Source organism: Homo sapiens, chromosome 7, assembly GCF_000001405.40.
Source record: "Homo sapiens chromosome 7, GRCh38.p14 Primary Assembly".
NCBI lineage: Eukaryota > Metazoa > Chordata > Mammalia > Primates > Hominidae > Homo > Homo sapiens.
In genome coordinates, this window is record NC_000007.14 from 71,682,381 (window position 1) to 71,694,457 (window position 12,077).

The 12,077-nt window shown below is 44.7% G+C and overlaps 1 protein-coding gene and 1 pseudogene across 2 annotated transcripts in view, besides 1 other annotated feature; one reads left to right on the forward strand and one right to left on the reverse strand.

The window, feature by feature from the left end:
- The window catches only part of GALNT17 (polypeptide N-acetylgalactosaminyltransferase 17), a 581,456-nt gene that overhangs the window by 550,237 nt on the left and 19,142 nt on the right, over positions 1 to 12,077 (forward strand). The window lies entirely within an intron of this gene.
- Positions 60 to 845: an enhancer, noted in NCBI's record as "OCT4-NANOG-H3K27ac-H3K4me1 hESC enhancer chr7:71147425-71148210 (GRCh37/hg19 assembly coordinates)". NCBI's record gives its function as "activates a minimal SCP1, AML or CMV promoter by ChIP-STARR-seq in naive H9 embryonic stem cells {active_cell/tissue: H9 hESC(naive)}" and the evidence as "EXISTENCE:reporter gene assay evidence [ECO:0000049][PMID:30033119]".
- Positions 3,072 to 3,367, reverse strand: RN7SKP75 (RN7SK pseudogene 75; annotated as a pseudogene).

Here is a 12,077-nt window from a genome sequence, read left to right on the forward strand (position 1 = left end):
TCTGGGGCAGACTGCTGTGAACTTGACCTTCCTTACCTTTCTGTCTGGAGCCTTTATTCCTCTATAGCCCCTCCCTCAAGCTTCTGCCCAGTGGGAACCTGATAGACCAGCAGGAATGCCTGGATGGCATAATTTCAGGACAACATGGTCAGAACTTTTCTTTCTTTTCTTTTCTCTTTTTAGAGACAAGGTCTTGCTCTGTCACCCAAGCTCGAGTCCAGTGGTGCAATCATAGCTCACTGCAGCCTTGACCTCCTAGGCTCAAGAAATCCTCCCATCTCGGCCTCTCAAGTAGCTGGGATTACAGGCATGAATCACCTTGCCCAGCTAATTTTTTTTAAAAAGTTTTTTGTAGAAATAGGGGTCTCCCTATGCTTCCCAGGCTGGTGTAGAAGTCCTGACCTCTGGAACTCCTGATCTCAGGCAATTTTCTCACCTCCGCCTCCCAAAGTGCTGAGGCTACAGGTGTGAGCCCCTGTGCTTGAGCCTGTGGTTAAAATTTAATGAGGGCTTTCACTCTGAAGGTGACCACCTTCTGACTCCCTCCCCAGGCAGGAGGCAGACATCAAGTCTCCTTTCCTGCTGGGAGCTTAGTGGCACTCCCAGCACAGTGTGGCCCCTTTGTTAGGAAATGGCTGGGTTTCATCTTTCCCAGTTCCACCTGCGTGCGGAACTTTTCCAAGTGAAAGCTCCTGCCATGGAGCTGATTAGATTGAGTTGATTTAGAACGGCAAACCGGATTAGGCTGCTCATGGCTCCCCCGGCTCTGGGATGGACGCTTGTTAAGTGGGCCCCGGCTGCTTTCCGTCAGCTGCTTTTTAAAAAGTCAATCTCATGTTGCTTTCTGTTCAGCCACGTGTCCTGAATTAGAGAACGCTTGGTGTGGCTCTCCAGCTGCCAGGCGGTCCCTCTACTCACTCATCAAAGCTCCCCCACTTCCCAAACCCACTCCTTCTGTGCAAGGAGTCCTGTCACCCAACTGGAATCCTTCTAAACTGCTTCCCAAAATGCCATGGGTGCAAACAGTGGCAGAATCAGAGCTCCTGTAACCAGGCGGCTCTCAGCAGAAGGAATTGGTGCTCCACGGACATCGCTAGCTTAATTAATGGACTCTATGTTGTAATTTATTATCAAACAGCAATTAAACAGAGATAAAATAGGCACTGAGGAGGGTAATTTCCTGTCTTGCAGCATGTGTTTGTCAACAAGATGTTCCGGGCCACTCAGAGAGCCTTGCTTGCTCGGAAATGTCTGTCGCCTTGGTTTTGGCTGATTACTAATTAGAATTAGACAAACATCCGCTTCTTTTTGGAAGCCTGAGTTTTATTTAAAAATAGAATGTCAAGGCTGGGCGCACTGGCTCACGCTTGTAATCCCAGCACTTTGGGAGGCCAAGGCGGGTGGATCACTTCCAGTCAGGAGTTTGAGACCAGCCTGGCCAACATGATGAAACCTCGTCTCTACTAAAAATACAAAAATTAGCCAGGTGTGGTGGTGGGCGCCTGTAATCCCAGCTACTCCGGGAGGCTGAGGCAGGAGAATCACTTGAACTCAGGAGGCGGAGGTTGCAGTGAGCTGAGACCATGCCACTGCACTCCAGCCTGGGCAACAGAGCAACACTCTGTCTCAAAAAAAAAAAAAAAAAACAAAAGAAACCATCAAGGATGCAGTAGCAGCCTTAGTGTTGGCTTGAACCTATTTGGAACAGAAGTTCTTGTCTAAGGAGACCCACAGACCCCCAGTTCTACCAGGCTGTTGCCCTCCTGCACCCAGGCCCAGGGTGGGTCCCCAAGCTAGAGCAACCACAGTGAAACCAGAACACTTTGGCTACCCTGCACGGAGAGCACCCTCCTCTGCCAGGCCCTTCTTGCTACACCGCTCCAGACAGCTGGTCAACCTTCTCCAGCCACAGCTTCTGATTTCTCCAGAAAGGCAAAGGTGCTATCAGGAAGAAAGAGGGGGCTAGGGGTAGTGCTGACCCCAGGGACCCACTGTGGCATCTTTCTCAGCCCTGAACGCCCCCGATGGCTCTGCATCTGCTCTCTCAGGTCCCTACAGCTGACCCGCAGCCCAGGGTTTGAACAGTGCGGCATACAATGGACTCTGGCCCCATAGCCGCGTGTTCCAGCCCCTGCCTAGGGACAGCTCTGAACACTCTGGGTCAGGGCTGGGCTGTGTTAAAGAACAAAAATGCTGACAATAAGACCCATATCTGTTTTTGGTGACATGTTTAATCCTTCCAACTACTCTGTCTGGTAAATAGTAACCTCCTCCCATCCCCCCGACTTTATTTTTTATTTGAGATAGGGTCTTGTTCTGTCATCTAGGCTGGAGTACAGTGGTGCAATCATAGCTCGCTGCAGCCTCAAACTCCTGGGTTCAAGCAACCCTCCTGCTTCAGCTTCCAGAGTAACTGGGACTACTGGTTATGAACCACCACACCCAGCTAATTTTTCAGTTTTTTTGTAAAGATGGGGTCTCACTATGTTGCCCAAGTTGGTCTGGAACTCCCAACCTCAAGCTGTCCTCCCACCTTGGCCTCCCAGAGTGCTAGTATTTTGGATGTGAGCCACCTTGCCTGGCACCACCTGCTTTTTTTTTATTATTATTATTAATGAGAACATGGAGATTCAGATAGGGCAATGCCAGCTGTCAAACGAATGTCCCATATCATTTGGTCTTGGGTACTCTGATCTGCATCTGGTGAATTCTGGAGAGCACCTCATATCCTTGAGTCCTTCGGTGTTCTCCAGGCCACAGCAAAACACAGTGGAAAGACTCATAGGAAGCAGAGAGGAATGGAACATGAAAGCCCAGGTGCAGAGGCTGGAATCACGAGGCACATTTCAGGAAATAATCACACAGTTGGCAGAAGCAGGTGGTTCAGGGTGGCCCAAAAGGGACAGAGTATGGAGATCCTCCGGTGCTAGGATCAAGGGCTAGGGCTTCCACTCAGCATCTCAGGTGTGGTCCACTGACCCAGTGAACCCTCTGGGGACTTATTGTAACCGCCTCTTCCAAAGTCCAACCCCCGACCTAGTGGAGGTGGGGCCTAGGATTCCACATCGTAACAAGCATTGGCAGGTGCTTTTCTTTGTCAATCCACAACTATTTATTGAGCATCTATTTTGAGAACTTGTTTGGGGGTTCTAGCAGGGGAGTGCAGATACTCGTATACCCTTGACCAAAGACTGGTCTTCCTCTATTGGGGATGGTCATCCTCTTTGACCAAGCATGCAGTTTCAGGAGGGATGCACGTGGAGGGGTGAGGGAGAAAGGGGACACCCGTCTAGCCAGCCAGATCAGCTGAATCAACCCTGGCGATCAATGGGATGACAGAAGTTGCAGCCAGATCACCCTCACATCCAAGTGAGCATCTATTTAGGATAATGCTGTGAATTAGGCCATATAGGTGGTGATCATATGTCCCTATCTGCCCAGGACAGACGCTGTTTAGGCCTAGTGTCCCAGCTTGATTTTTTGTTTTTAATTTATAACACTATCTTAGTTTTTTATATAATTGAGGTTCTTGGGTTTTTTTTTTTTTTTCTTTTCAAGGCAATTACTATTTTTTTTTTTTTTTTTTTTTTTTGAGACAGAGTCTCACTCTGTCACCCAGGCTGGAGTGCAGTGGTGCGATCTTGGCTCACTGCAACCTCCGCCTCCTGCGTTCAAGCGATTCTCCTGCCTCAGCCTCCCGAGTAGCTGGGATTACAGGCACCTGCCACCACACCTGGTTAATTTTTATATTTTTAGTAGAGATGGGGTTTCACCATGTTAGCCAGGCTGGTCTTCAACTTCTGACCTCAGGTGATCCGCCTGCCTAGGCCTCCCAAAGTTCTGGAATTACAGGCGTAAGCCACGGCGCCCAGCCTGTTTACTCTTTATAATGTATAATTTTGCAGGTTTTAGCAAGCACATGTGATCAAGTAATCACACCATAATCAAGATACAGAGCAGTTCAATATTCCCCTGAACCTCTGCCCACATATACTTTTTAAAAAGATTTATTTTGTTAGAGACAGCATCTCACTCTGTCACCCAGGCTGGAGCACAGTGGTGCCACCAGAGCTCACTGTGACCTTGAACTCCTGGGCTCAAGCAATCCTGCTGCCTTAGCCTCCTGAGTAGCTGGGATTACAGTCACACACCACCATACCAGGCTTTTTTATTTTTTTTTTAAATTTTTGTAGAGATAGGGATCTCACTATGTTGCCCAGGCTGGTCCCAAACTCCTGGGCTCAAGTGATCCGCCCACCGCTGCCTCCCAAAGTGCTGGGATGATAGGTATAAGCCAGTGCGCCCAGCCTTCCACATACTTTTATACACATCACAATCACTTTTGAGGACCATAGTTGAGAGAGTGTTCATAGAAGTTGCCTGTACACCTGCACATGTTCAAACCTAACACGTTCCTGCAAATTCTGATGCAGCTTTGTCCCCGAGCTGAGACTCACTGCCCCTCCACAGCCCATACCATGGACGAGGTGTGACTAACAGGGTCTGCAAGAAATGGCCCTGGAGATTTCGACGGGCACTCTTTGAAACAGCTACTGGCTGTAATGAGATGTTCGTAAGATGAGGTGTGCACTGTGGGAAGGAATTGAGGGTGGGAGTCCCTCTTGGAAGGTGTCAAGCTCTGTTCCCAGGACCTTTCTGATTCAGTAGGCTCAGGGGAGGACATTAGCGCCCAGGACCTTTCTGATTCAGTAGGCTCAGGGGAGGACATTAGCGACGTCTCCTCTGTGTGTCCTCCCTGTTAATACATTTTCCTCCTCTTCTCCGTCCTTTCCGAGAGACTCAACGTTTCTTCTCTCAGTTAATTCATCACCAAAATGACAGATGAGATTCTTTTATCCTGTAATTAAATTCAATCTGATCTTGGACTCATTCTCTGATGGCTTCATCTTTTAAGCGATACATCATCCAAACACCTTGTCATTATGATGCATTGTGCCAATAAGGCACCCGTGCCCTGCTGGCGTGACGGGGCTCTGGCGAGCTATTAGCATGTAGGAGGCACCCCTGGTCGTCGTCGGAAAACACAGAAGTGAGTGACACCCAGCAGCCTCTTGGCTTCCAGATGCTATCATGTAAGTGTCGGAGCTCAGGCAACGCAGCCTTTGAGAACACATTGAAGTTTCGCCCAAGAAAAGATGGCTTTGGTCCAGAAAACAGGCCTGAGGTTCTGGGAATATGCCTCTCCCATTTGATAAGAAGCAAACTTGATCATCCCTTTCCATCCACGAAAACCCAATTCCTAGAAATCACCATGGGGGTCAAATCAGGGGATCTGTAGACCTTCTGGAAAACAGAGTTGGGGGACTGAAGGCAGATACTTTTTAAAAATTTTTTTATTAATTAACTATATATTTCATGACAAGGTCTTGCTCTGTCACCCAGGCTGGAGTGCGGTGGTGCAGTCAGCTCACTGCAACCTCAATCTCCCAGACTACAGGTGCACACCACCATGCCTAGCTAATTTTTTTGTGTTATTTGTACAGATGGGGTCTTGCTGTGTTGCCCAAGCTGGTCTCAAACTCCTAGGCTCGAGTGATTCTCCCCCCTCAGCCTCCCAAAGTGCTGGGATTACAAGTATGAGCCACTGCACCTGACCCAGATACTTTTGATGCTGAGAAAACCTGCTGCACACACAAATGGGAGATGAAACAGAAAATAGGAGAGGAAATGCTGATGGTGTTCTATGTATCTGAAATTCGACACCACAGAGGTTCTGAACCACTTATTTTCATTTTCCATTTTCAATCTCTTATGCCATATTTTTTAAAACCTCTCCTTTTGCATTCCAATGCAACACTTATAAATTCGTCTTACCTCGTTGCATGCAGATAGTGAGAATATTAACAGCCTTTTTTGTTGTTGCTGTTGCTCTTCTGACTCGTCTTCTCTCAAAATATTCAAAATGTTTCTGATTTTATTACTTTGGGTTGTTCGTTCCTGCCTCCTGGGCCCTGCGTCCATCAGCCTGTGTGTACACTCCTTGCAGCCACTCTCTTTGCAGACCTCCATGCAATGCAGTTTTACATGCTTTCTGCTTGCTGAGATTTTCCCCGAGGCTTTGGGGGACCCAGGCCTCTTTCTCTGCCATCTGCTTTGCTTCTCTTTTCTATTTCCAACTCCCAATTCCGTTTTTCTAATTATCCCTGAGAAGTGGCTCTCGTGATCCACGTGCAGAGCACAGGAAGGCTTGAGTTCCTAAATATTTCCTGCTGATGTATCACCTAAGTTTATGAAATATTCCAAATATTCTGTTGTGTCCTTTCAACAATATTCACAACATCTTCATCAGGAGTAGATTCCTCCTCAAGAGACCACTGTCTTTGCTTATCCATTAAGAAACAACTCTATATCTGTTCCTGTTTGATCATAAGATTGTAGCAATTCCATGCCATCAGTGTGCAGAAGTAAAGACACATGTACAGGCATACCTCATTTCATAGCGTTTCACTTTATGGTACTTTGTAGATGTTGCATTTTTTCACAGATCGAAGGGTTGTGGCAACGTGACATCGAGCAAGTCTATGGGTGCCGTTTTTCCAACAGCACCTGCTCACTTCCTGTCGCTGTGTCACATTTTGGTAATTCTTGCAATATTTCAAACTTTTTCATTAGTATTGTATCTGTTATGGTGGTTTGTGATCAGTATCTTTGATGTTACTATTGTAATTATTCGGGGCACTATGAGCTGCACCTAGACAGGACCGCGAACGTAAATCATAAATGTTGTGTGTGTTTGACGGCTCCACTGTTGGGCCATTCTCCTATCTCTCTCCCAATTCTCGGGCCTTTCTATTCCCCGAGACACAGCAATATTGAAATTCAGCCAATTAACAGCCCTATAATGGCCTCTAAAAGCTTTAGTGAGGAAGACAAGTCACAAGCCAAATAAGGCTGAAAGCTAGGCCTCTTGTGCCAAATAATTTGCCAAGTTATGAATGCAAAGGAAAAGTTATTGAAGGAAATTAAACATGCTACTCCAGTGAACACACGAATGCTAAGAAAGCAAAACAGCCTCATTGTTCATAGGGAGTCAGTTTTAGTGGTATGGTTAGAAGACCAGTCCAGCCACAACATTCCCTTAAGCCAAAAGCCTAATCCAGAACAAGGGCCTAGTTCTCTTCAATTCTATGAAGGCTGAAAGAAGTGAGGAAGCTACAGAAGAAAAGTTTGAAGGTAGCAGAGGTTGGCTTGAGGTTTAAGGAAAGAAGCTGTCTCTGCAACATAATGGTGCAGGGTGAAGCAGCAAGTGCTGATGGAGAAGCTGCAGCAAGTTCTCCAGAAGATCTAGCTAAACTCATTGCTGAAGGTGTCTACACTCAACAACAGATTTTCAACGTAGACAGAACAGCCTTCTATTAGAAGAAGGTGCTATCTAGGACTTTCCCACATAGAGAGGAGAAGTCCATGCCTGGCTTCAAAGCCTCAAAGGACAGCCTGACTCTCCTGTGAGAGGCGAATGCAGCTGGTGACTTTAAGTTGAAGCTAAAGCTCATTTACCATTTTGAAGATCCTAGGGCCCTTAAGAATGATGCTAAATCTACTCTGCATGTGCCCGAGAAATGGAACAACAGAGCTTGGATATCAGTGCATCTGTTTACAGCATGGTTTACTGAATATCTTTTTTTTTTTTTTTCTTTTTTTTGAGACGGAGTCTCACTCTGTCACCAGGCTGGAGTGCAGTGGCGCAATCTCGGCTCACTGCAATCTCCGACTCCTGGGTTCAGGCGAGTCTCCCGCCTCAGCCTCCCGAGTAGCTGGGACTACAGGTGCGCACCATCACGCCCAGCTAATTTTTCTATTTTTAGTAGAGACAGGGTTTCCACCATGTTGGCCAGGATGGTCTCGATCTCTTGACTTCAAGATCCACCCTTCTTGGCCTCCCAAAGTGTTGGGATTACAGGCGTGAGCCACAACGCCTGGCCGGTTTGCTGATTATATTAAGCCCACTGTCCAGTCCCACTTCTCAGAAAAAAAAAAAAAAGATTCCTTTCACAATATCACTGCTCATTGATAATGGTCACCTAGGAGCTCTGATGGATACGTACCAAAAGATGAATGTTGTTCTCATGCCTGATAACACATCATCCATTCTGCAGCCCACGGATCAAGGAGTAATTTTGACCTTCAAGTCTTATTTAAGAAATTCATTTTGTAAGACTGTAGCTGCCATAGATAGTGATTCTTCTCATGGGTCTGGCCAAAGTCCATGGAAAGCTTTTTGGGAAGAATGTACCATTTTAGATACCAGTAAGCATGTTTGTGATTCATGGAAGACCAAAATAGCAACATGAACAGGAGTGTGGAAGAAGTGGATTCCAACCCTCATGGATGACTTTGAGGGTTTCAAGGCTTCAGTGGAGGAAGGAACTCCAGATGTGGTGGAAACAGCAAGAGAACTAGAACCAAAATGGAGCCCGTAGATGGGACTGAATTGCTGCAATCTCATGATCAAACATGAACAAAGAGTTGTTTCTTCACGGATAAGCAAAGACAGTGGTCTCTTGAGATGGAATCTACTCCTGATGGGGATGTTGTGAATATTGTTGAAATGACACAAGAGAATATTTAGAATATTCCATAAACTTAGGTGGTGTATCAGCAGCAGGATTTGAGAGGATTGGCTCCAATTTTGAAAGAAATTCTACTGTGGGTAAAATGCTACTAACCAGCATTGGATGCTACAGCGAAATATTTCATGGAAGGGAGAGAGTCAATTAATGCAGCAAACTTTGTTATTCTCTTATTTTAAGAAATTGCCACAGCCGCCCCAACATTCAGCAACCACCACCCCGCCACCCTGATCAGTCAGCAGCCATAACATCAAGCCGTGACCCTCCATTAGCAAAAAGATTACAGCTTACTGAAGGCTCAGATGATCACTAGTATTTTTAGCCATGAAGTATTTTTAAATTAAGCTATGCACATTTTTAAAAGGCATGCTATTGCACACTTAATAGTCTACAGTATAGTGTAAACATAACTTTTTATGCACTGGGAAACCAATATATTTGTGTGACTTGCCTTTTTATTGCAATATTCGCTATATTGCAGTGGTCTGCAACTGAACCTGCAATATCTCAAGATATGCCTGTATTTGATTTTGCCTAAGGAAGACTCAGGGTTAAGGAGGAATTACTGTACTATTTCTTTCCTGCCAGAATGGATTGATGAGCTATTCTTTCCAGGAAATCACAATGACAGACATAAATTGTTTTCCAGTGGAGATTGTGAGTTGAGACTTTTGTGTCTTCCGGGAAGTTTAGCTGACTTTTCTCCAGGCACAAAAAGTCATTCAGGCAGGTTTTGTGCTCATGTTAGGCTTGGAATAAGGAACTCAGATTGAACAATAGAGTGGTAGCCATGTCACCAGCTGAGCCTTTCTCCCTTGCCCAGGGATATTAAATTCCACAGCCAAATAAGTGAAAGTCACTTCTGCTCCTCTTTTTTTAATCTTTTCTTTCTTTCTTTCCTTTCTTTCCTTCCTTTCTTCCTTCCTTTCTCTCTTTCTCTCTTTCTTTTTTTCTTTTTTTGAAAGAGTCTGTTTCTGTCACCCATGCTGGAGTGCAGTGCCATAATCAGAGCTCACTGTAGCCGCGACCTCCTGGATTCAAGCAATCCTCCCACCTCTGCCTCCCAAGTAGCTGGACCACAGCCACACACCACCATGCTTGGCTAATTTTTAAGTTTTTTATAGAGATGGGGTCTCGCTATGTTGCCTTGCTGTGTTGACCAAGCTGGTCTCAAACTCCTGGCCTCCCGCAATCTTCCTGCCTCAGCTTCCCAAAGTGCTGGGATTTATAGGTGTGAGTCAGTGTGCCTGGCCCTTCTTTTTTACTGAAGGCACAATAGCATTTCAGAGAGTTTGAAAAACACAAATTTAAATCATCCATGGTCCTGCCACCCTACAACAACTATTATTATTACTGAAGGTTACTTTCAGCTTTTCTTTTTTTCAAAGAAATATATTGATTTGTTAGGCTGTCTTTATATCACTGAATTAAAAAGGAAACAACGTCACTGTTTCTGAAGGACAAGGAGGGGGACGTAAAGCCTCCTGGTGGAATGTATTTAGTGCCTTACTCTTTACTCTTTAGCTAGGAGGCTCAGCAGAGCGATGCAGAACTTCACAGTAGCCTCATCCCTGACTGCTTGATTCACAGAGCTTTGATTTCTCCTTGGGACAGTAGTATCTGTTGAATGATTATTTTCAGTAAGTTCATAGTGAGATATGTACACACACATACACATACACATAAAACAAGCTACATAAACAATTTTATTATACATACACAATGTATGTATATAAGTACTTTTTAATTTTTTTATTTTTATTCTATTTTTTTTTTTTTATTTTTGAGAAGGAATCTCACTCTGGCACCCAGGCTGGAGTGCAGTGGCGTGATCTCAGCTCACTGCAACCTCCACCTCCCAGGTTCAAGTGATTCTTCTGCCTCAGCCTCCAGAGTAACTGGGATTACAGGTGCCCGCCACCACACTCAGCTAATTTTTGAATTTTTAGTAGAGATGGGGTTTCATCATCTTGGCCAGGCTGGTCTCAAACTCCTGACCTCAAGTGATCCGCCCACCTCGGCCTCCCAAAGTGCATGAGCCACCGCACCCAGCCATAAGTACATATTTGTTATAGTATATACTTAGATAGATAACTATATACTAGTGTTAGTATTCAGTGAAAGTGGATCATCATAAAGTTCTTCATCCTTGTTGTCTTCACATACTATAAGTATATAAGTATATATTTAAGTATATACTATAATATAAATAGTGTGTGTGTATATAGTGTGTGTATATATATCTACAATACATGTATACATATATACACATATATATACACACACACACATACACACACACACACACACACACACACACACACACACACACACACACATATATATATATGGAGACAAGACCAAAACAATGCAATGTGAGATCCTGGGTTGGATCCTGGGAAGAAAATCCATGTTTGTGGTTTTGATTTGCATGTCCCTTCAATGATAGACTGGATTAAAAAAATGTGGTGCATATACATCATGGAATACTTTATAGACATAAAAAAGAATGGAATCTTGTCCTTTGCAGGGACATGGATGGAGCTTGAGGCCATTATCCTTAGCAAAGTAACACAGAAACAGAAAACCAAATAACTTCTCTCTTATAAGTAGGATCTGAATTATGAGAACACGTGGACACATAGAAGGGAATAACAAACACTGGGGCCTATTGGAGGGTAGGGGGTGGAGGGTGGTAGGAGGGAGGGGATCAGGAAAAATATTAAATAGCTAATGGGTACTAGGCTTAATACCTGGGTGATGAAATAAGCTGTACAACAAACCCCCATGACACAAGTTTACCTGTGTAACAAACCTGCATATGTACCCCTGCACTTTAAAAAAAGTTAAAAAAAAAAAAAAGAATCTATAGGAAAGAAAACAAGTTCTTTGTAAAGCTGGAGCAAGACCCCAGTTATTCAATGGTGGGTGAGGTCGGGGAAGCTAATATCCACATTTGCTTCTCATTATTTTATTTAATCCGTTATTTTATTAGTCTGTTTTCATGCTGCTGATAAAGTCGTACCTGAGACTGGGCAATTTACAAAACAAGGAGGTTTAATGGACTCACAGTTCCACGTGGCTGGGGAGGCCTCACAATCACGGTGGAAGGTGAAAGTGATGTCTTCCCTGGTGGCAGACAAGAGAAGAGAACTTGTGCAGGGAAACTCCCCTTTATAAAACCATCAGATCTTGTGAGACTTATTCACTATCTCAAGAATAGCACAGGAAAGACCCACCTCCATGTTTCAATTACCTCCCACTTGGTCCCTCCCACAAAACATTAGAATTGTGGGAGCTACAATTCCAGATGAGATTTGGGTGGGGACAGAGTCAAACCGTATCAATCTCCATAAATGCACTATGATGTAATCTATAATTATCCCAATTTTTTTTTTTTTTTTGAGATGGAGTCTCACTCTGTCACTCAGGCTGAAGTGCAGTTGCACAATCTCGGCTCACTGCAACCTCTGCCACTCAGGTTTA